Below are 24065 nucleotides of genomic sequence, written 5' to 3' on the forward strand. Positions count from 1 at the left end.
CGACAGCCTGGAGCAGCACCCACAACCCCAGGTGAGTATCTGACAGCCTGGAGCAGCACCCACACCCCTAGGCGAGCATCCGACAGCCTGGAGCAGCACCTACACCCCCAGGTGAGCATCCGACAGCCTGGAACAGAATTCTCAAACCCCAGGTGAGGATCTGACAACCTGGAACAGAACCCCACTCTTCCAGGTGAGAATCTGACAACATTAAAACAGCACCCTGCACCCCCAGGTGAGCATCTGACAGCCTGAAACAGCACCCTTCACCTTCAGGTGAGAATATGACAGCCTGAAACAGCACCCCACAACCCAGGCAAAAATCTGACAGCATGGAACAAGACCACTGCTCCCAGGTGAGCATTTGACAACCTGGGAAAGCACCCTCCACCCACACGTGAGCATCTGACAGCCTGGAAACACCCCACTGCTTCCAGATGAACATCTGATAGCCTGGAACAGAACCCCAGGCCTCCAAGTAAGCATCTGAAAGCACGGAACAGCACTCTCGACCCCAGGGGAGCGTCTGACAACCTAGAACAGCACCTTCACCCCGAGGTGGGCATCTGGCAGCATAAAACAGCACCCCTACTGGCAGATGAGCATATGACAGCCTGGAACAGCACCCACACCCCCAGGCGAGCATCTGACAGCCTGGAGCAGCACACACAACCTTAGGCGAGCATCTGACAGCCTGGAGCAGCGCCCACACCCCCAGGTGAGCATGTGACAGCCTGGAGCAGCGCCCACACCCCCGGGCGAGCATCTGACAGCCTGGAGCAGCACACACAACCCCAGGCGAGCATCTGACAGCCTGGAGCAGCACACACAACCCCAGGCGAGCATCTGACAGCCTGGAGCAGCGCCCACACCCCCAGGTGAGCATGTGACAGCCTGGAGCAGCGCCCACACCCCCGGGCGAGCATCTGACAGCCTGGAGCAGCACCCACACCCCCAGGTGAGCATCTGACAGCCTGGGGCGGCGCCCACAGCCCCAGGTGAGCATCTGACAGCCCGGAGCAGCGTCCACACCCCCAGGTGAGCATCTGGCAGCCTGGAGCAGCACCCACACCCCCAGGTGAGCATCTGACTGCCTGGAGCAGCACCCACACCCCCAGGTGAGCATCTGACAGCCTGGAGCAGCGCCCACACACCGAGGTGAGCATCTGACAGCCTGGAGCAGCGCCCACACCCCCAGGTGAGCATCTGACAGCGTGGAGCAGCGCCCACACCCCCAGGTGGGCATCTGACAGCCTGGAGCAGGCGCCCACAATCCCAGGTTAGCATCTGACAGCCTGGAGCAGCACCCACACCCCCAGTTGAGTAGCTGACATCCTGGAGCTGCACCCATACCCCCAGGTGAGATCTGACAGCCTGGGGCAGCACCCACACCCCCAGGTGAGCATCTGGCAACCTGGAACAGCATCTACAGCCCCAGGTGACCATCTGACAGCCTGAAGCAGCACCCACACCCCCAGGTGAGCATGTGACCACATGGAATGTCATCCTCACCTCCAGGTGAGCATCGGACAGCCTGGAACAGAATTCTCAAGCCCCAGGTGAGGATCTGACAACCTGGAACAGAACCCCACTCTTCCAGGTGAGAATCTGACAGCATAAAACAGCACCCTGCACCCCCAGGTGAGCATCTGACAGCCTGAAACAGCACCCTCCACCTTCAGGTGAGAATATGACAGCCTGAAACAGCACCCCGCACCCAGGCAAAAATCTGACAGCATGGAACAAGACTACTGCCCCCAGGTGAGCATTTGACAGCCTGGGAAAGCACCCTCTACCCACACGTGAGCATCTGACAGCCTGGAAACACCCCCACTGCTTCCAGGTGAACATCTGATAGCCTGGAACAGAACCCCAGGCCTCCCAGTAAGCATCTGAAAGCAAGGAACAGCACTCTCACCCCCAGGGGAGCATCTGACAACCTAGAACAGCACCCTCACCCCGAGGTGGGCATCTGGCAGCATAAAACAGCACCCCTACTGGCAGATGAGCATATGACAGCCTGGAACAGCACCCACACCCGCTGGCGAGAATCTGACAGCCTGGAGCAACACCCACACCCCCAGGTGAGCATCTGACAGCCTGGAGCAGCGCCCACACCCCCAGGTGAGCATCTTACAGCCTGGAGCAGCGCCCACACCCCCAGGTGAGCATCTGACAGCCTGGAGCAGCACCCACACTCCCAGGTGAGTATCTGACAGCCTGGAGTAGCACCCACACCCCCAGGTGAGCATCTGACAGCCTGGAACAGCATCCACTCCCCCAGGTGAGCATCTGACCACATTGAATGGCATCCTCACCTCCAGGTGAGCATCTGACAGCCTGGAACCGCACCCACACCCCCAGGCGAGCATCTGACAGCCTGGAGCAGCACCCACACCCCCAGGTGAGCATCTGACAGCCTGGAGCAGCACCCACACCCCCAGGGGAGCATCTGACCGCATGGAATGTCATCCTCACTTCCAGGTGAGCATCCGACAGCCTGGAGCAGCACCCACACCCCCAGGTGAGCATCTGACCGCATGGAATGGCATCCTCACCTCCAGGTGAGCATCCGACAGCCTGGAACATAATTCTCCAACCCCAGGTGAGGATCTGACAACCTGGAACAGAACCCCACTCTTCCAGGTGAGAATCTGACACCATAAAACAGCACCCTGCACCCCCAGGTGAGCATCTGACAGCCTGGAACAGCATCCACACCCCCAGGTGAGCATCTGACCGCATGGAATGGCATCCTCACCTCCAGGTGAGCATCCGACAGCCTGGAACAGAATTCTCCAACCACAGGTGAGGATCTGACAGCCTGGAACAGAACCCCACTCTTCCAGGTGAGAATCTGACGCATAAAACAGCACCCTGCAACCCCAGGTGAGCATCTGACAGTCTGGAACAGCATCCACACACCCAGGCGAGCATCTGACAGCCTGGAGCAGCACGCACACCCCCAGGCGAGCATCTGACAGCCTGGAGCAGCACACACAACCCCAGGCGAGCATCTGACAGCCTGGAGCAGCGCCCACACCCCCAAGTGAGCAGGTGACAGCCTGGAGCAGTGCCCACACCCCCGGGCGAGCATCTGACAGCCTGGAGCAGCACCCACACCCCCAGGTGAGCATCTGACAGCCTGGGGCAGTGCCCACAGCCCCAGGTGAGCATCTGACAGCCTGGAGCAGCGTCCACACCCCCAGGTGAGCATCTGGCAGCCTGGAGCAGCACCCACACCCCCAGGTGAGCATCTGACAGCCTGGAGCAGCGCCCACACACTGAGGTGAGCATCTGACAGCCTGGGGCAGCACCCACACCCCCAGGTGAGCATCTGGCAACCTGGAACAGCATCTACAGCCCCAGGTGACCATCTGACAGCCTGAAGCAGCACCCACACCCCCAGGTGAGCATGTGACCACATGGAATGTCATCCTCACCTCCAGGTGAGCATCCGACAGCCTGGAACAGAATTCTCAAACCCCAGGTGAGGATCTGACAACCTGGAACAGAACCCCACTCTTCCAAGTGAGAATCTGACAGCATAAAACAGCACCCTGCACCCCCAGGTGAGCATCTGACAGCCTGAAACAGCACCCTCCACCTTCAGGTGAGAATATGACAGCCTGAAACAGCACCCCACACCCCAGGCAAAAATCTGACAGCATGGAACAAGACCACTGCTCCCAGGTGAGCATTTGACAACTTGGGAAAGCACCCTCCACCCACACGTGAGCATCTGACAGCCTGGAAACACCCCCACTGCTTCCAGGTGAACATCTGATAGCCTGGAACAGAACCCCAGGCCTCCAAGTAAGCATCTGAAAGCACGGAACAGCACTCTCACCCCCAGGGGAGCGTCTGACAACCTAGAACAGCACCTTCACCCCGAGGTGGGCATCTGGCAGCATAAAACAGCACCCCTACTGGCAGATGAGCATATGACAGCCTGGAACAGCACCCACACCCCCAGGTGAGCATCTCACAGCCTGCAGCAGCACCCACACCCCCAGGTGAGCATCCGACAGCCTGGAGCAGCACCCACACCCCCAGGCGAGCATCGGACATCGTGGAACAGCACCCCACACCCCCAGGTGAGCATCTGACAGCTTGGAACAGAACTCCACACCCACAGGTGAGCATCTGACAGCCTGGAGCAGCACCCCACACCCCCAGGGGAGCATCTGACAGTCTGGAACAGCACTCCACACCCCCAGGTGAGCATCTGACATCCTGGAACAGCACCCCACGCCCCCAGGTGAGCATCTGACAGCCTGGAACAGCACCCCACACCCCTAGATGAGCATCTGACAGCCTGGAGCAGAACCCCACACCCCCAGGTGAGCATTCGACAGCCTGGAACAGCACCCATACCCCCAGGCGAGCATCTGACAGCCTGGAGCAGCATGCACACCCCCAGGCGAGCATCTGACAGCCTGGAGCAGCGCCCACACCCCCAGGTGAGCATGTGACAGCCTGGAGCAGCGCCCACACCCCCGGGCGAGCATCTGACAGCCTGGAGCAGCACCCACACCCCCAGGTGAGCATCTGACAGCCTGGGGCGGCGCCCACAGCCCCAGGTGAGCATCTGACAGCCCGGAGCAGCGTCCACACCCCCAGGTGAGCATCTGGCAGCCTGGAGCAGCACCCACACCCCCAGGTGAGCATCTGACTGCCTGGAGCAGCACCCACACCCCCAGGTGAGCATCTGACAGCCTGGAGCAGCGCCCACACACCGAGGTGAGCATCTGACAGCCTGGAGCAGCGCCCACACCCCCAGGTGAGCATCTGACAGCGTGGAGCAGCGCCCACACCCCCAGGTGGGCATCTGACAGCCTGGAGCAGGCGCCCACAATCCCAGGTTAGCATCTGACAGCCTGGAGCAGCACCCACACCCCCAGTTGAGTAGCTGACATCCTGGAGCTGCACCCATACCCCCAGGTGAGATCTGACAGCCTGGGGCAGCACCCACACCCCCAGGTGAGCATCTGGCAACCTGGAACAGCATCTACAGCCCCAGGTGACCATCTGACAGCCTGAAGCAGCACCCACACCCCCAGGTGAGCATGTGACCACATGGAATGTCATCCTCACCTCCAGGTGAGCATCGGACAGCCTGGAACAGAATTCTCAAGCCCCAGGTGAGGATCTGACAACCTGGAACAGAACCCCACTCTTCCAGGTGAGAATCTGACAGCATAAAACAGCACCCTGCACCCCCAGGTGAGCATCTGACAGCCTGAAACAGCACCCTCCACCTTCAGGTGAGAATATGACAGCCTGAAACAGCACCCCGCACCCAGGCAAAAATCTGACAGCATGGAACAAGACTACTGCCCCCAGGTGAGCATTTGACAGCCTGGGAAAGCACCCTCTACCCACACGTGAGCATCTGACAGCCTGGAAACACCCCCACTGCTTCCAGGTGAACATCTGATAGCCTGGAACAGAACCCCAGGCCTCCCAGTAAGCATCTGAAAGCAAGGAACAGCACTCTCACCCCCAGGGGAGCATCTGACAACCTAGAACAGCACCCTCACCCCGAGGTGGGCATCTGGCAGCATAAAACAGCACCCCTACTGGCAGATGAGCATATGACAGCCTGGAACAGCACCCACACCCGCTGGCGAGAATCTGACAGCCTGGAGCAACACCCACACCCCCAGGTGAGCATCTGACAGCCTGGAGCAGCGCCCACACCCCCAGGTGAGCATCTTACAGCCTGGAGCAGCGCCCACACCCCCAGGTGAGCATCTGACAGCCTGGAGCAGCACCCACACTCCCAGGTGAGTATCTGACAGCCTGGAGTAGCACCCACACCCCCAGGTGAGCATCTGACAGCCTGGAACAGCATCCACTCCCCCAGGTGAGCATCTGACCACATTGAATGGCATCCTCACCTCCAGGTGAGCATCTGACAGCCTGGAACCGCACCCACACCCCCAGGCGAGCATCTGACAGCCTGGAGCAGCACCCACACCCCCAGGTGAGCATCTGACAGCCTGGAGCAGCACCCACACCCCCAGGGGAGCATCTGACCGCATGGAATGTCATCCTCACTTCCAGGTGAGCATCCGACAGCCTGGAGCAGCACCCACACCCCCAGGTGAGCATCTGACCGCATGGAATGGCATCCTCACCTCCAGGTGAGCATCCGACAGCCTGGAACAGAATTCTCCAACCACAGGTGAGGATCTGACAGCCTGGAACAGAACCCCACTCTTCCAGGTGAGAATCTGACGCATAAAACAGCACCCTGCAACCCCAGGTGAGCATCTGACAGTCTGGAACAGCATCCACACCCCCAGGCGAGCATCTGACTGTATGGAATGACATCCTCACATCCAGGTGAGCATCCGACAGCGTGGAACAGAATTCTCCAACCCCAGGTGAGGATCTGACTACCTGGAACAGAACCCCGCTCTTCCAGGTGAGAATATGACAGAATAAAGCAGCACCCTGCACCCCCAGTTGAGCATCTGACAGCCTGGGGCAGCACCCACACTCCCAGGTGAGCATCTGACAGCCTGGAGCAGCACCCACACCCCCAGGTGTGCATCTGACAGCCTGAAACAGCACCCTCCACCACCAGATGAGCATCTGACAACCAGAACCTGCACCACACACCCCAAGGTGGGCATCCGATGGCATGGAACAGCACCCCCACTCACAGGTGATGTGACTGCGTGGAACAGCACGTCCCCTCAGGTGAGCATCTGACAGCATAAAACAGCACCCCACAACCCCAGGTGATCATTTGCCAGCCAGGAACGGCAACCCACATCCCCAGGTAAGTGTCTGACAGCCTAGAGCGGCACCTGCACACTTAGGTAAGAATCTGAAAGCCTGGATCAACACTCGAACCTTCAGGTGAGCATCTGACAGCCTGGAGCAGCAGTGCCCACCCCTGGGTGAGGATGCTCACCTGAGGTTGGGAGTGCCATTCCAGGCTGCCAGATCCTCACCTGGGGATGGAAGGTGCCATTGTAGGTTTTTGGATGTTCGCATGGGGGTGAAGGGTGGTGTTCCGGGTTATCAGATGCTCACCTGGGGACGCGTGGAAAACCATGCCCACCACAAGGTGAGCATATGACAGCCCGGAACAACACCCTCCACCCCCAGGTGAGCATCTGACAGCCTGGAACAGAACCCCACAACTTCAAATAAGAATTTGATAAGTGGGGAAAAGCTCCCCGCCCTCAGGTGAGTGTCTGACAGCCTGGAACAGCACCCCACAACTGCAGGTGAGCATCTGATAGCCTGGATAGGCACTCCACACAGCCAGGTGAGCAGCTGAAAGCCTGGAATGGTACCCCACATGCAGGTGAGCATCCGACAGCCTGGAACAGCAGCTCACATCCCCAGGTAAGATTCCAACAGCATGGAACAAGACCACTGCCCCCAGGTGAGCATCTGGCAGCCTGGAAAAACAACCCCCTTCAGGTGAGCATCTGACAGCCTGGAACAGCACCCTCCACCTTCAGGTGAGAATATGACAGCCTGAAACAGCACCCCACACCCCAGGCAAAAATCTGACAGCATGGAACAAGACCACTGCCCCCAGGTGAGCATTTGACAGCCCGGGAAAGTACCCTCCATGCACAGGTGAGCATCTGACAGCCTGGAAACCCCCCCACTGCTTCCAGGTGAACATCTGATAGCCTGGAACAGAACCCCAGTTCTCCAAGTAAGGATCTGAAAGCACGGAACAGCACTCTCACCCCCAGGGGAGCATCTGACAACCTAGAACAGCACCCTCACCCCGAGGTGGGCATCTGGCAGCATAAAACAGCACCCCTACTGGCAGATGAGCATATGACAGCGTGGAACAGCACCCACGCACCCAGGTGAGCATCTGACAGCCTGGAACAGCACCCCACACCCCCAGGTGAGCATCTGACAGCCTGGAACAGCACCCACACCCCCAGGTGAGCATCTGACAGCCTGGAGCAGCACCCTACACCCCCAGGGGAGCATCTGACAGTCTGGAGCAGCACCCACACCCCCAGGTGAGCATCTGACATCCTGGAACAGCACCCCACGCCCCCAGGTGAGCACCTGACAGCCTGGAACAGCACCCCACACCCCCAGGTGAGCATCTGACAGCCTGGAACAGCACCCACACCCCCAGGTGAGCATCTGACAGCCTGGAGCAGCACCCCACACCTCCAGGGGAGCATCTGACATCCTGGAACAGCACCCCACACCCCCAGTGAGCATCTGACAACCTGGAGCAGCACCCCACACCTCCAGGGGAGCATCTGACATCCTGGAACAGCACCCCACACCTCCAGGGGGAGCATCTGACAGCCTGGAACAGCACCCACACCCCCAGGTGAGCATCTGACAGCCTGGAGCAGCACCCTACACCCCCAGGGGAGCATCTGACAGTCTGGAGCAGCACCCACACCCCCAGGTGAGCATCTGACAGCCTGGAGCAGCGCCCACACCCCCAGGTGAGCATCTGACAGCGTGGAGCAGCGCCCACACCCCCAGGTGGGCATCTGACAGCCTGGAGCAGGCGCCCACAATCCCAGGTTAGCATCTGACAGCCTGGAGCAGCACCCACACCCCCAGTTGAGTAGCTGACATCCTGGAGCTGCACCCATACCCCCAGGTGAGATCTGACAGCCTGGGGCAGCACCCACACCCCCAGGTGAGCATCTGGCAACCTGGAACAGCATCTACAGCCCCAGGTGACCATCTGACAGCCTGAAGCAGCACCCACACCCCCAGGTGAGCATGTGACCACATGGAATGTCATCCTCACCTCCAGGTGAGCATCGGACAGCCTGGAACAGAATTCTCAAGCCCCAGGTGAGGATCTGACAACCTGGAACAGAACCCCACTCTTCCAGGTGAGAATCTGACAGCATAAAACAGCACCCTGCACCCCCAGGTGAGCATCTGACAGCCTGAAACAGCACCCTCCACCTTCAGGTGAGAATATGACAGCCTGAAACAGCACCCCGCACCCAGGCAAAAATCTGACAGCATGGAACAAGACTACTGCCCCCAGGTGAGCATTTGACAGCCTGGGAAAGCACCCTCTACCCACACGTGAGCATCTGACAGCCTGGAAACCCCCCCCACTGCTTCCAGGTGAACATCTGATAGCCTGGAACAGAACCCCAGGCCTCCCAGTAAGCATCTGAAAGCAAGGAACAGCACTCTCACCCCCAGGGGAGCATCTGACAACCTAGAACAGCACCCTCACCCCGAGGTGGGCATCTGGCAGCATAAAACAGCACCCCTACTGGCAGATGAGCATATGACAGCCTGGAACAGCACCCACACCCGCTGGCGAGAATCTGACAGCCTGGAGCAACACCCACACCCCCAGGTGAGCATCTGACAGCCTGGAGCAGCGCCCACACCCCCAGGTGAGCATCTTACAGCCTGGAGCAGCGCCCACACCCCCAGGTGAGCATCTGACAGCCTGGAGCAGCACCCACACTCCCAGGTGAGTATCTGACAGCCTGGAGTAGCACCCACACCCCCAGGTGAGCATCTGACAGCCTGGAACAGCATCCACTCCCCCAGGTGAGCATCTGACCACATTGAATGGCATCCTCACCTCCAGGTGAGCATCTGACAGCCTGGAACCGCACCCACACCCCCAGGCGAGCATCTGACAGCCTGGAGCAGCACCCACACCCCCAGGTGAGCATCTGACAGCCTGGAGCAGCACCCACACCCCCAGGGGAGCATCTGACCGCATGGAATGTCATCCTCACTTCCAGGTGAGCATCCGACAGCCTGGAGCAGCACCCACACCCCCAGGTGAGCATCTGACCGCATGGAATGGCATCCTCACCTCCAGGTGAGCATCCGACAGCCTGGAACATAATTCTCCAACCCCAGGTGAGGATCTGACAACCTGGAACAGAACCCCACTCTTCCAGGTGAGAATCTGACACCATAAAACAGCACCCTGCACCCCCAGGTGAGCATCTGACAGCCTGGAACAGCATCCACACCCCCAGGTGAGCATCTGACCGCATGGAATGGCATCCTCACCTCCAGGTGAGCATCTGACAGCCTGGAACAGAATTCTCCAACCACAGGTGAGGATCTGACAGCCTGGAACAGAACCCCACTCTTCCAGGTGAGAATCTGACACATAAAACAGCACCCTGCAACCCCAGGTGAGCATCTGACAGTCTGGAACAGCATCCACACCCCCAGGCGAGCATCTGACAGCCTGGAGTAGCACGCACACCCCCAGGCGAGCATCTGACAGCCTGGAGCAGCACACACAACCCCAGGCGAGCATCTGACAGCCTGGAGCAGCGCCCACACCCCCAAGTGAGCAGGTGACAGCCTGGAGCAGTGCCCACACCCCCGGGCGAGCATCTGACAGCCTGGAGCAGCACCCACACCCCCAGGTGAGCATCTGACAGCCTGGGGCAGTGCCCACAGCCCCAGGTGAGCATCTGACAGCCCGGAGCAGCGTCCACACCCCCAGGTGAGCATCTGGCAGCCTGGAGCAGCACCCACACCCCCAGGTGAGCATCTGACAGCCTGGAGCAGCGCCCACACACTGAGGTGAGCATCTGACAGCCTGGGGCAGCACCCACACCCCCAGGTGAGCATCTGGCAACCTGGAACAGCATCTACAGCCCCAGGTGACCATCTGACAGCCTGAAGCAGCACCCACACCCCCAGGTGAGCATGTGACCACATGGAATGTCATCCTCACCTCCAGGTGAGCATCCGACAGCCTGGAACAGAATTCTCAAACCCCAGGTGAGGATCTGACAACCTGGAACAGAACCCCACTCTTCCAAGTGAGAATCTGACAGCATAAAACAGCACCCTGCACCCCCAGGTGAGCATCTGACAGCCTGAAACAGCACCCTCCACCTTCAGGTGAGAATATGACAGCCTGAAACAGCACCCCACACCCCAGGCAAAAATCTGACAGCATGGAACAAGACCACTGCTCCCAGGTGAGCATTTGACAACTTGGGAAAGCACCCTCCACCCACACGTGAGCATCTGACAGCCTGGAAACACCCCCACTGCTTCCAGGTGAACATCTGATAGCCTGGAACAGAACCCCAGGCCTCCAAGTAAGCATCTGAAAGCACGGAACAGCACTCTCACCCCCAGGGGAGCGTCTGACAACCTAGAACAGCACCTTCACCCCGAGGTGGGCATCTGGCAGCATAAAACAGCACCCCTACTGGCAGATGAGCATATGACAGCCTGGAACAGCACCCACACCCCCAGGTGAGCATCTCACAGCCTGCAGCAGCACCCACACCCCCAGGTGAGCATCCGACAGCCTGGAGCAGCACCCACACCCCCAGGCGAGCATCGGACATCGTGGAACAGCACCCCACACCCCCAGGTGAGCATCTGACAGCTTGGAACAGAACTCCACACCCACAGGTGAGCATCTGACAGCCTGGAGCAGCACCCCACACCCCCAGGGGAGCATCTGACAGTCTGGAACAGCACTCCACACCCCCAGGTGAGCATCTGACATCCTGGAACAGCACCCCACGCCCCCAGGTGAGCATCTGACAGCCTGGAACAGCACCCCACACCCCTAGATGAGCATCTGACAGCCTGGAGCAGAACCCCACACCCCCAGGTGAGCATTCGACAGCCTGGAACAGCACCCATACCCCCAGGCGAGCATCTGACAGCCTGGAGCAGCATGCACACCCCCAGGCGAGCATCTGACAGCCTGGAGCAGCACCCACACCCCCAGGCGAGCATCTGACAGCCTGGAGCAGCACGCACACCCCCAGGTGAGCCTCTGACAGCCTGGAGCAGCACCCACACCCCCAGGCGAGCATCTGACAGCCTGGAGCAGCACACACAACCCCAGGCGAGCATCTGACAGCCTGGAGCAGCGCCCACACCCCCAGGTGAGCATGTGACAGCCTGGAGCAGCGCCCACACCCCCGGGCGAGCATCTGACAGCCTGGAGCAGCACCCACACCCCCAGGTGAGCATCTGACAGCCTGGGGCGGCGCCCACAGCCCCAGGTGAGCATCTGACAGCCCGGAGCAGCGTCCACACCCCCAGGTGAGCATCTGGCAGCCTGGAGCAGCACCCACACCCCCAGGTGAGCATCTGACTGCCTGGAGCAGCACCCACACCCCCAGGTGAGCATCTGACAGCCTGGAGCAGCGCCCACACACCGAGGTGAGCATCTGACAGCCTGGAGCAGCGCCCACACCCCCAGGTGAGCATCTGACAGCGTGGAGCAGCGCCCACACCCCCAGGTGGGCATCTGACAGCCTGGAGCAGGCGCCCACAATCCCAGGTTAGCATCTGACAGCCTGGAGCAGCACCCACACCCCCAGTTGAGTAGCTGACATCCTGGAGCTGCACCCATACCCCCAGGTGAGATCTGACAGCCTGGGGCAGCACCCACACCCCCAGGTGAGCATCTGGCAACCTGGAACAGCATCTACAGCCCCAGGTGACCATCTGACAGCCTGAAGCAGCACCCACACCCCCAGGTGAGCATGTGACCACATGCAATGTCATCCTCACCTCCAGGTGAGCATCGGACAGCCTGGAACAGAATTCTCAAGCCCCAGGTGAGGATCTGACAACCTGGAACAGAACCCCACTCTTCCAGGTGAGAATCTGACAGCATAAAACAGCACCCTGCACCCGCAGGTGAGCATCTGACAGCCTGAAACAGCACCCTCCACCTTCAGGTGAGAATATGACAGCCTGAAACAGCACCCCGCACCCAGGCAAAAATCTGACAGCATGGAACAAGACTACTGCCCCCAGGTGAGCATTTGACAGCCTGGGAAAGCACCCTCTACCCACACGTGAGCATCTGACAGCCTGGAAACCCCCCCACTGCTTCCAGGTGAACATCTGATAGCCTGGAACAGAACCCCAGGCCTCCCAGTAAGCATCTGAAAGCAAGGAACAGCACTCTCACCCCCAGGGGAGCATCTGACAACCTAGAACAGCACCCTCACCCCGAGGTGGGCATCTGGCAGCATAAAACAGCACCCCTACTGGCAGATGAGCATATGACAGCCTGGAACAGCACCCACACCCGCTGGCGAGAATCTGACAGCCTGGAGCAACACCCACACCCCCAGGTGAGCATCTGACAGCCTGGAGCAGCGCCCACACCCCCAGGTGAGCATCTTACAGCCTGGAGCAGCGCCCACACCCCCAGGTGAGCATCTGACAGCCTGGAGCAGCACCCACACTCCCAGGTGAGTATCTGACAGCCTGGAGTAGCACCCACACCCCCAGGTGAGCATCTGACAGCCTGGAACAGCATCCACTCCCCCAGGTGAGCATCTGACCACATTGAATGGCATCCTCACCTCCAGGTGAGCATCTGACAGCCTGGAACGGCACCCACACCCCCAGGCGAGCATCTGACAGCCTGGAGCAGCACCCACACCCCCAGGTGAGCATCTGACAGCCTGGAGCAGCACCCACACCCCCAGGGGAGCATCTGACCGCATGGAATGTCATCCTCACTTCCAGGTGAGCATCCGACAGCCTGGAGCAGCACCCACACCCCCAGGTGAGCATCTGACCGCATGGAATGGCATCCTCACCTCCAGGTGAGCATCCGACAGCCTGGAACATAATTCTCCAACCCCAGGTGAGGATCTGACAACCTGGAACAGAACCCCACTCTTCCAGGTGAGAATCTGACACCATAAAACAGCACCCTGCACCCCCAGGTGAGCATCTGACAGCCTGGAACAGCATCCACACCCCCAGGTGAGCATCTGACCGCATGGAATGGCATCCTCACCTCCAGGTGAGCATCCGACAGCCTGGAACAGAATTCTCCAACCACAGGTGAGGATCTGACAGCCTGGAACAGAACCCCACTCTTCCAGGTGAGAATCTGACGCATAAAACAGCACCCTGCAACCCCAGGTGAGCATCTGACAGTCTGGAACAGCATCCACACCCCCAGGCGAGCATCTGACTGTATGGAATGACATCCTCACATCCAGGTGAGCATCCGACAGCCTGGAACAGAATTCTCCAACCCCAGGTGAGGATCTGACTACCTGGAACAGAACCCCGCTCTTCCAGGTGAGAATATGACAGAATAAAGCAGCACCCTGCACCCCCAGTTGAGCATCTGACAGCCTGGAACAGCACCCACACTCCCAGGTGAGCATCTGACAGCCTGGAGCAGTACCCACACCCCCAGGTGTGCATCTGACAGCCTGAAACAGCACCCTCCACCACCAGATGAGCATCTGACAACCAGAACCTGCACCACACACCCCAAGGTGGGCATCCGATGGCATGGGACAGCACCCCCACTCACAGGTGATGTGACTGCGTGGAACAGCACATCCCCTCAGGTGAGCATCTGACAGGATAAAACAGCACCCCACAACCCCAGGTGATCATTTGCCAGCCAGGAACGGCAACCCACATCCCCAGGTAAGTGTCTGACAGCCTAGAGCGGCACCTGCACACTTAGGTAAGAATCTGAAAGCCTGGATCAACACTCGAATCTTCAGGTGAGCATCTGACAGCCTGGAGCAGCAGTGCCCACCCCTGGGTGAGGATGCTCACCTGAGGTTGGGAGTGCCAGTCCAGGCTGCCAGATCCTCACCTGGGGATGGAAGGTGCCATTGTAGGTTTTTGGATGTTCACATGGGGGTTAAGGGTGGTGTTCCGGGTTATCAGATGCTCACCTGGGGACGCGTGGAAAACCATGCCCACCACAAGGTGAGCATATGACAGCCCGGAACAACACCCTCCACCCCCAGGTGAGCATCTGACAGCCTGGAACAGAACCCCACAACTTCAAATAAGAATTTGATAAGTGGGAAAAAGCTCCCCGCCCTCAGGTGAGTGTCTGACAGCCTGGAACAGCACCCCACAACTGCAGGTGAGCATCTGATAGCCTGGATAGGCACTCCACACAGCCAGGTGAGCAGCTGAAAGCCTGGAATGGTAACCCACATGCAGGTGAGCATCCGACAGCCTGGAACAGCAGCTCACATCCCCAGGTAAGATTCCAACAGCATGGAACAAGACCACTGCCCCCAGGTGAGCATCTGGCAGCCTGGTAAAACAACCCCCTTCAGGTGAGCATCCGACAGCCTGGAACAGCAGCTCACATCCCCAGGTAAGATTCCAACAGCATGGAACAAGACCACTGCCCCCAGGTGAGCATCTGGCAGCCTGGAAAAACAACCCCCTTCAGGTGAGCATCTGACAGCCTGGAACAGCACCCTCCACCTTCAGGTGAGAATATGACAGCCTGAAACAGCACCCCACACCCCAGGCAAAAATCTGACAGCATGGAACAAGACCACTGCCCCCAGGTGAGCATTTGACAGCCCGGGAAAGTACCCTCCATGCACAGGTGAGCATCTGACAGCCTGGAAACCCCCCCACTGCTTCCAGGTGAACATCTGATAGCCTGGAACAGAACCCCAGTTCTCCAAGTAAGGATCTGAAAGCACGGAACAGCACTCTCACCCCCAGGGGAGCATCTGACAACCTAGAACAGCACCCTCACCCCGAGGTGGGCATCTGGCAGCATAAAACAGCACCCCTACTGGCAGATGAGCATATGACAGCGTGGAACAGCACCCACGCACCCAGGTGAGCATCTGACAGCCTGGAACAGCACCCCACACCCCCAGGTGAGCATCTGACAGCCTGGAACAGCACCCACACCCCCAGGTGAGCATCTGACAGCCTGGAGCAGCACCCTACACCCCCAGGGGAGCATCTGACAGTCTGGAGCAGCACCCACACCCCCAGGTGAGCATCTGACATCCTGGAACAGCACCCCACGCCCCCAGGTGAGCACCTGACAGCCTGGAACAGCACCCCACACCCCCAGGTGAGCATCTGACAGCCTGGAACAGCACCCACACCCCCAGGTGAGCATCTGACAGCCTGGAGCAGCACCCCACACCTCCAGGGGAGCATCTGACATCCTGGAACAGCACCCCACACCCCCAGTGAGCATCTGACAACCTGGAGCAGCACCCCACACCTCCAGGGGAGCATCTGACATCCTGGAACAGCACCCCACACCTCCAGGGGGAGCATCTGACAGCCTGGAGCAACACCCCACACCTCCAGGGGAGCATCTGACAGCCTGGAACAGCACTCCACACCTCCAGGGGAGCATCTGACAGCATGGACAAGTCCTGCCCCCCGGTTAGTGTCTGAATTCCTGGAATATGTGCTGTCCTTTTCCACCAGGTGAGCATATGACCGCCTGGAAGAAGCACCCCTGCATGTTACCTGTGGTGAAACCAAGGCTGAGAGACAGGACAGGGTTGTTGGCCAGGAGGAGGGGCCTGCTGCTGAGCCCCAGCGCTGAGTCAGAGCTCACAGCCTTGAGCCTGTGCCATGCCTCCTCTCAGGGTGAAGAGGCAGAGGGCATGGGGGGGGGGGCGCAGCATCAGCCCATATCCTGGATGCACAAATTCACAGGCATGACGGGGCGAGGGCCTGCTGCTCCTACCGTCACTCCCACATGCTAGCCCTCCAACGTCCTGGCTGACTTTCCCTGCCTCTGGTCCTGCGGCCCTGGACACAGCGGGAGGAGGGGACAGGATCCTGTGGTACCCCTTGGAGGAGGTTCCGGCACCTGTAGGCAGTTTCCAAGGATCCCTTGTGGCCACATCCAGCTGTTAAATGGGCATGTCCCTGGCAGCCACAGATGTCTGTCCAGTGCAGGAAAGTCTGTCCAGTGCAGGAAAGGGCAGGCAGAGAGCTGGCTCCCAGCCCCAAATGCATGTCTCCCTCCCTGGGGCCCAGGCTGGCACAGAAGTCAGGCCTGCCAGTGGGAAACTTGGGGGAAACTTGGTGCCCTGGTCCAGCAGCCTGCCCTGCAGCAGCAAGCATGGCCTCTGGAGGCTGTCGTCCTCCTGGCCTCCAGGATTGCTTTTCCTTTCTTCCTAGAACTCCAGCCCTTAAGAAAATCAGAAGCCCTGGCAGGCACATTGCCTCTGTGCTGTGCTTTTACCCAGCGAAGCATCAGGGCAGACAGCCAATTTCAACACTGCTCTTGGCTGGGAAGTGCCCTCATCTCTGGCAGCCCCCACAGAGAAAGTGCAGGGCCCCGGGGCTGTGGCTGCCTCAGGGCAGGTCTCCCTTGTGACAGCCTCTTGTCATGGGCCTGGGAGTGGACCCCTCCCATCCCTGCCGTGCATCCTGTTGAGTAGACAGCTCAGGCTAGTACCCAAGAGGGTGGCCAGCAGATCACAGGGGATGTCCCTTTTGTCTTAGCTGTTTATGGGCTGGAGGAACCACTGTTCAGCCACATCTCCTCTCCTGCCCCTCCTGCATTCACCCGAGGTTGATGGGAGCTCTGTGGGGGGAGACAGGCAGGGGAGGGGCCAGGCAACACCTGGGCATATCCCCAGGGTGCCTCCTCTGATCCCCAGGAGGGGCAGCACCCACCCTCTTCTTTTTCCAATTTGTTTTTATTGTGGTTAAATATACATAACGTAAAATTTACCATCTTAATTAATTATCTTTATGTGTACGGTGTGGTGGCATTAAATACATTCATCATGTTGTGTGGCCGTCACCACCATCCCTTTCCAGAACTAGCTCATCTTCCCAAACTGAAACTCTGTCCCCGTTAAATACTAACTCTCCGTTCCCCAGGCACTCTCTGCCCCCAACCCCAGGCACCCACCATTCTGCTTTCTGTCTCTGTGATTCGATGACTCTAGGGACTTCATATAAGGGAAATCACACAGTGTTTGTCCTTTTGTGGTGGCTGCTTATTTTGCTGAGCACAATGTCCTTGAGGTTCATCCATGTTGTAGTGTGTACCAGGAATCCCTTCCTTTTTAATGTTGAATAATTCCCCATTGTATGGATGGATCATGTTTGGCTTATCCACCCATCCATCGGTGGACACCTGGGTGCCTTCCACCTCCAAGCTCTTGTGAACAATGATGCTATCTATGAATATGGTGTACAAATGTCTCTAAAAGACCCTACTTCCATTTATTTTGGATGTAGACCCAGATGTGGAATTGCTTGATCATATGGTAGTTCTATTTTTTTTTTCTTTTTTTTGGAGCTGGAGTCTCGCTCTGTCGCCCAGGCTGGAGTGCAGTGGCAGGATCTCAGCTCACTGCAACTCCCACCTCCCGGGTTCAAGCGATTCTCCTGCCTCAGCCTCCCGAGTAGCTGGGATTACAGGCGCGTGCCACCACGCCTGGCTAACTTTTTGTATTTTTAGTAGAGACCAGATTTCACCGTGTTAGCCAGGATGGTCTTGATCTCCTGACCTCGTGATCCACCCTCCTTGGCCTCTCAAAGTGCTGGGATTACAGGCGTGAGCCACCACACCCAGCTGGTAGTTCTATTTTTAGCTTTTTGGGAAATGGCCATCCTGTTTTCCTTAGCTGCTGCACCATTTTACCTTCCCACCAATAGTGCAGAAGGTTCCAGTTTCTTCACATCCTCACCAGTGCTTGTTATTTTCTTTTTAAAAACTTCATAGTAGCCATCCTGACAGGTGTGAGGCATATCTCGTTGTTTTGATTTGTGCTTCCCTGATGATTGGTGATGTCCAGCATCTTTTCATGTGCTTATTGTCCATTTGTATATCTTTTTTTGAGAAATGTCTGTTTAAGTCCTTTGCTCATTTTTTTTGAATGACACAGTGAAACCTCGTCTCTATAAAAATACAAAAAATTAGCCAGGCGTGGGGTCGCCCACCTGTAATCCCAGCTACTCGGGAGGCTGAGGCAGGAGAATCGCTTGAACCCCGGAAGCGGAAGTTGCAGTGAGCTGAGATCCCGCCACTGCACTCCAGCCTGGGTGACAGAGCGAGACTTCAGCTCCAAAAATTGAATTGGGTTTTTGGCTTTGTTGTTGTTGAGTTTTAGGACTTCTCTGTGTATTCTGGGTAATAATTCCTTATCAGATATGTGACTTGCAAATATTGTGGTTTTCTTCCATCCTGTCAGTTGCCTTTTTACTCTATTATAATAGTGTCCTTTGGTGCACAAAAAATTTAATTTTCATGAAATCCAACTTTATTTTTTCTTTTGCTGCCTGTGCCTTTGTTGTTGTAGCCCAGAAGTCATTGTCAAATCCAGTGTCGTGAAGCTTCTCCCCTGTGCTTACTTCTAAGAATTTTATAGTTTTAGGTCTTTGATCCATTTTGAATTAATTTTTGTATGTAGTGTTAGGAAAGAGTCCAACTTCATTCTTTTGCATAGTTTTCCCTGCAACATTTGTTGAAAAGACTGTCCCTTCCCCATTGAATGGTCTTGGTCAAATCATTTGACCATCTATGGGAGGGTTCATTTCTGGACTCTCTATTCTGTTTCATTGGTCTCTGTGTCTGTTTTTGTGCCATACCACACTATTTTGATCACTGTAGCTTTGTAGTAAGTTTTGAAATCAGGAAGTGTGAGTCCTCCAGCTTGCTGGTTCTTTTTCAGGGTTGTTTTGGCTGTTTGGGGTCCCCTGAGATTCCACAGGAATTTCAGAATTTAGCTTTTCTACTTCTGTAAAAAACATTATTGAGATTTTGACAGAGATTGCATTGAATCTGTAGATCACTTTGGGTAATACTGACGTCTTACCAACATGAAGTCTTCTAATACATGAACATGGAATGTGTTTCCATTTGTTTATGTCTTATTTAATTTATTTCAGCAATGTTTTATAGTTTTCATTGTACAAATCTTTCACCTCTTTGGTTAATTCCTAAGTATTTTATTCTTTTTAATTCTATTGTAGATGGAATTACAGTTGACTCTTGAACACAGGTTAAAATTATGTGGGTCCCCTTATATGTGAATTTTTTTCAATAAATACAGCCAGCCTTTCATATTGGTGGGTTCCGAATCCACAGCCAAATGCAGATCAGTTCTTGGGATGTGCAACCCTCGTACACAGAGGGCCAACTTTTCATATCTAGGGGTTGGGGGTTCCACAGGGCTGACTGTAGGACTTCAGTATGTGGGGATTTCAGTATCTGAGGGTTGTCCTGGAACCAATCCCATGTGTATACCAAGGGGTGACTGTATTTTCTTAATTCCCTTTTTAGATTGTTCATTATTAATGTATAAAAATGCAACTGATTTTTGTGTTGCCTTCGTATCCTGCTACTTTGCTGAATTCATTTATTAGTTCTAACAATTTTTTTTTGTGTGTGGAATCTTTAGGGATTTCTACATATAAGATCTGTGAACAGAGATAATTTTACTTCTTTCAAATTTGGATGCTTGGTAATTTTTTTCTTGCCTAGTTATTCTGGCTATAACTTCCAGTGCAATGTTGAGTAGAAGTGCAAAAGCAATCATCCTTGCCTTGTTCCTGATCTTAGAGGAAAAACTTTTCTTTTTCATCATTGAGTATGATGTTTGCTGTGGGTTTTTCATATATGGATTTTATATTGAGGCAGTTTCCTTCTATTCCTAGTTTGTTGAGTATTCTTATCATAAAAGGGTGCTGAATTTTGTCAAATGCTTTTCTGCATCAGTTGAGATGATCATTTTTTCCCTTTCATTCTGTTAATGTGGTACATCACATAAATTGACATTTGTATGTTGAACCATCCTTGCATTCTAGCAATAAATCTCACTTGGTCACGTGTGTCATCATTTTAACAAATTGCTGAATTTGTTTTGTTAGTATTTTGTTGAGGATTTTTGCCTCAATATTCATACGGGATAATGGTCTGTAGTTTTCTTGTAGTGTCTTTGGCTATGGTATCAGGGTAATGCTGGCCTCATAGAATGAGTCTGAGGAAGTGTTCCTTCCTCTTTGATTTTTTGGAAAAGTTTGAGGATTCGTGTTAGTTCTTTAAATATTTGGTAGAATTCACCAGTGAAGCCATCAGGTCCTGGCCTTTTCTTTGTTGGGAGATTTTTGATTACTGACTCAATCTTTTTACTAGTTATAGGTCTATTCAGATCTTCTATTTCTTCATGATTTAGTCTTGGTAGGTTTTGTGTTTCTAGGGATTTGTCCATTTCACCTAGATTAACTGATTTGTTGGTTTACAATTGTTCCTATTACTATCTTATAATTATTTTTATTTCTGTAGAATTGGTAATAACCTGATTTTCATTTCTGATTGTCATGATTTGAATTTTCTCTTTCTTAGTCCACCTGGCAAAAGGTTTGTCAAATTTTGTCTTTTCAAGGACAAACTTTTGTTTTCATTGATTTTCTCTATTTCTTCTCTATCCTATGTTTTATTGATCTCTGCTGTAATCTTTTTCTCTCTCTCTTTCTTTCTCTTTCTGTTCATGTGTTCTTTTTCTAGTTTCTTAAGTTGTAAAGTTAGATTGTTGATTTGAGATCTTTCTTGTTTTTTAATGGAAGCATTTACAGCTATACATTTCCCCCTCAGGATTGCTTTCCCTGTGTCTCATAATTTGGGGTGTGTTGTTTTCATTTTCACTTGTCTCTAAGCATTGTCTAACTTCTCGAAGTGTGATTTCTTCTGTGATCCATTGGTTGTTTAGCTCCCTCCTCCTTTTACAGAGGAGGAAACTGAGGCCTGGGGAGGTGAAGTGATTCGGCTGCGGTTGCTTAGCTGGACCCAACTCTTCTGGGCTCCAGGGACAGTGCTCAGGGCAGCAGGCCTGGGCTGAGCACACAGGTCCAGTGTGAGTCCCTCAGAGTCAGACCACATAGAATGCAGTGCAGTTGCAAGCAAGGAATGCTCATAAACAAACAGAACAGAAACCATCTTCCAGCACACAGGCCTCCCCCAGCTGATTGGGATCTGTCTTCTTGCCATTGCCCCTCTCCCAACTTTTATTTTAAATTGGAGCAGTTCCTGCAGAAGAAAGTCTTAAATGCATAGATACCGAACTTAAAGAGCAGGTAAATGAAGCTCAGATCAGGGTCCGGGGGCTGCATCCCTGCACCTGTCTGTGGCAGACATGGCTGGCCGAGGCCAGCACTTACTCCCTCTGTGCATGTCCTCTAAACCCCTCTCAACACCGGGGGCCAGGCAGCCTCACCAATGCAGCTGAGGGAACATCTCCTGGCCAACAACCCCAGAGGGACCCCTGCATGCACTGAGCATTATCTAAGCTGGGGAGGACCCCTAGTACCTCTGAAGGCTCGCACATCTATCCACACAGACTGAGGCTGGGAGGATGAAAGGGCAGGACTCCCAGAAACTGGGTTTGTGGGGACCCGGCTCCCATGAGCCGCTGTACAGGTGGGGATGGGAACATGGGTTTTGATGGGCATCTCACTGCTCAGGATGGCCTACCCGGCTCCCTCTCTCCTTGGGGTGGAGGAAGGCAGCTCCCTGGGTCCCCCACCCGTGCTTGCCCAGGCCCAGGTCAGGAGTGGGGCGGCACCTGCAGCTGGTCTAGGGCCAGGTGCACCAACGCCCGTCCACACAGTGCCTGCACGTTCCCCGGCTCAGCCCGCAGCACTGTGTTGAAGTCGAACATGGCCGTCTTCTTCTGGCCCAGGAACCCATAGCAGCGGGCTCGGGCAAGGAGGGACTCACTTGCCTGGCTTCCTGCAGGAAGACGGCATGGGGTCAGGATGAGCCTATGCTGGGTCCCTTCCCCAGCATCTATCCTGCCCAGCCCGGGGAGGGCAGAGGGTGCATGAGCTTCAGGGCCTACCTTGGGGAGCTCACAGGCCACTGGGCACCAAGACAGACAGAGACAGGGTGGACTTGGGGGCATTGGCTGCAGGGCAAGAGGAGCTCAGCCAGGACTGGGGACAGCTGGGGGGCTGCCGTGAGGAGGGGGCACTGCAGCTGCCTCTGAGGCCAGGCGAGGGCAGGGGGATCAGGGTAGCACTACCATCAAGACGCGGAGACCGGTAGTGGCCCCGAACGGCTGAGCGCACTGATATTTACTGCATACAAGACGAGGGGGGCAGGGTAAGGAGGGTGAATCTTCTAAGTGATTGACAAGGTGAAGCAAGTCACGTGATCAAAGGACAGTGGGCCCTTCCCTCTTGGGCAGCTGAAGCAGAGATAGAAGGTGGCATACGTCAGCGTTTTCTTCTATGAACTTATAAGATCAAAGCCTTTAAGACTTTCACTATTCCTTCTACCGCTATCTACTACAAACTTCAAAGAGGAACCAGGAGTATGGGAGGAACATGAAAGTGGACAAGGAACGTGACCATTGAAGCACCACAGGGAGGGGTTTAGACCTCTGGATGACTGTGGGCAGGCCTGGATGATATCCAGCCTTCCATAAGAAGCTGGTGGAGCAGAGTGTTCCCTGACTCCTCCAAGTAAAGGAGACTCCCTTTCCCGGTCTGCTCAGTAATGGGTGCCTTCCCAGACACTGGTGTTACCACTTGACCAAGGGGCCCTCAAGCAGCCCTTATGCGGGTGTGACAGAGGGCTCACCTCTTGCCTTCTATTCACTTCTCACAATGTCCCTTCAGCACCTGACCCTACACCCACTGGTTATTACTAGATTATGTTAGTAATGCAACAAAAAGTAATATTAAAAGCTAATGATTAATAATGATTAATAATTGTTCATTATCTCTATATCTAATTTGTATCATGACTATTCTTATTCTATTTTCTTTATTATACTGAAACAGTTTGTGCCTTCAGTCTCTTGCCTCGGCACCTAGGTAATCTTTTGCCCACAACCCCTCGCCAAAGAGGCTGTCATTACTGTGCCCCTTCTGGGTGTTGTTCTGTGACGGACATGGGACAACATGCCAGGCTGCTCTGGGCCACTCTGGGCCGCTCTGGGCTGCTCTGGGCCGCTCTGGGCCGCTCTGGGCTGCATGCCTTCCTGCCGACGTGTGCAGGGCATGCTCTCTGTGCCAGGTACTGTCCCAAAATGAGCCCTCTGAATCCCCACTTCCACCCGACATGGGCAACGCTGCCATCCCCCTTTGGGAGAGGAGGGTGAGGGGTGCTCACTAAGTGCATGGCCAGGTTCCACGTGGCAGCCTGATCTAGGTCCAGGCTTGGGAGAGGAGGATGAGGGGTGCTTACTAAGTGCATGGCCGGGTTCCACGTGGCAGCCTGATCTAGGTCCAGGCTCTCACACTCCCTGTACCCCAGGAGATCCCTGCGAGTCCTGGGAAACATCGCCTTCCCTCCAGACACCTGGCCCCCCAAC

At 55.7% G+C, this 24065-nt stretch overlaps 1 protein-coding gene and 7 long non-coding RNA genes across 32 annotated transcripts in view; 7 read left to right on the top strand and 1 right to left on the bottom strand.

Moving 5' to 3' along the window:
- The window catches only part of TTC34 (tetratricopeptide repeat domain 34), a 164708-nt gene that overhangs the window by 124313 nt on the left and 16330 nt on the right, over positions 1-24065 (bottom strand). Inside the window, exon 6 of the mRNA NM_001242672.3 lies at positions 22311-22477. Within this exon, the coding sequence (NP_001229601.2) occupies positions 22311-22477 (167 nt within the window). The remainder of the gene's footprint in view (positions 1-22310; positions 22478-24065) is intronic.
- On the top strand, positions 1190-2089 carry LOC105378601 (uncharacterized). 2 transcript variants are annotated; one of them, XR_946869.2, is made up of 3 exons: positions 1190-1600; positions 1683-1761; positions 1844-2089. It is a non-coding gene; the product is annotated as an uncharacterized LOC105378601 (long non-coding RNA). The 2 variants fall into 2 exon arrangements; XR_946868.2 differs by having other exon boundaries at positions 1190-1559; positions 1642-1761.
- On the top strand, positions 2121-6220 carry LOC112268220 (uncharacterized). Its single transcript, XR_002958245.1, has 4 exons — positions 2121-2605; positions 2688-2767; positions 2850-3129; positions 6070-6220. It is a non-coding gene; the product is annotated as an uncharacterized LOC112268220 (long non-coding RNA).
- LOC107985732 (uncharacterized) lies at positions 3266-4331 on the top strand. Its single transcript, XR_001737864.1, has 3 exons — positions 3266-3693; positions 3776-3976; positions 4139-4331. It is a non-coding gene; the product is annotated as an uncharacterized LOC107985732 (long non-coding RNA).
- Positions 4775-5674, top strand: LOC105378600 (uncharacterized). Of its 2 annotated transcripts, none has more exons than XR_946867.2 (3): positions 4775-5185; positions 5268-5346; positions 5429-5674. It is a non-coding gene; the product is annotated as an uncharacterized LOC105378600 (long non-coding RNA). The 2 variants fall into 2 exon arrangements; XR_946866.2 differs by having other exon boundaries at positions 4775-5144; positions 5227-5346.
- LOC105378598 (uncharacterized) lies at positions 6530-23447 on the top strand. 22 transcript variants are annotated; one of them, XR_007065371.1, is made up of 6 exons: positions 6530-6554; positions 9747-9867; positions 9950-10029; positions 13654-13976; positions 14059-16161; positions 16912-17469. It is a non-coding gene; the product is annotated as an uncharacterized LOC105378598 (long non-coding RNA). The 22 variants fall into 22 exon arrangements; XR_007065370.1 differs by lacking the exon at positions 6530-6554 and adding an exon at positions 9374-9386; XR_007065364.1 differs by lacking the exon at positions 6530-6554 and having other exon boundaries at positions 9383-9867; positions 14059-15311; positions 15394-16161.
- Positions 10528-11593, top strand: LOC107984904 (uncharacterized). The gene is made up of 3 exons (XR_001737863.1): positions 10528-10955; positions 11038-11238; positions 11401-11593. It is a non-coding gene; the product is annotated as an uncharacterized LOC107984904 (long non-coding RNA).
- Positions 12197-13096, top strand: LOC105378599 (uncharacterized). 2 transcript variants are annotated; one of them, XR_946865.1, is made up of 3 exons: positions 12197-12607; positions 12690-12768; positions 12851-13096. It is a non-coding gene; the product is annotated as an uncharacterized LOC105378599 (long non-coding RNA). The 2 variants fall into 2 exon arrangements; XR_946864.1 differs by having other exon boundaries at positions 12197-12566; positions 12649-12768.

The sequence above is a fragment of the Homo sapiens genome, chromosome 1, assembly GCF_000001405.40.
Source record: "Homo sapiens chromosome 1, GRCh38.p14 Primary Assembly".
NCBI lineage: Eukaryota > Metazoa > Chordata > Mammalia > Primates > Hominidae > Homo > Homo sapiens.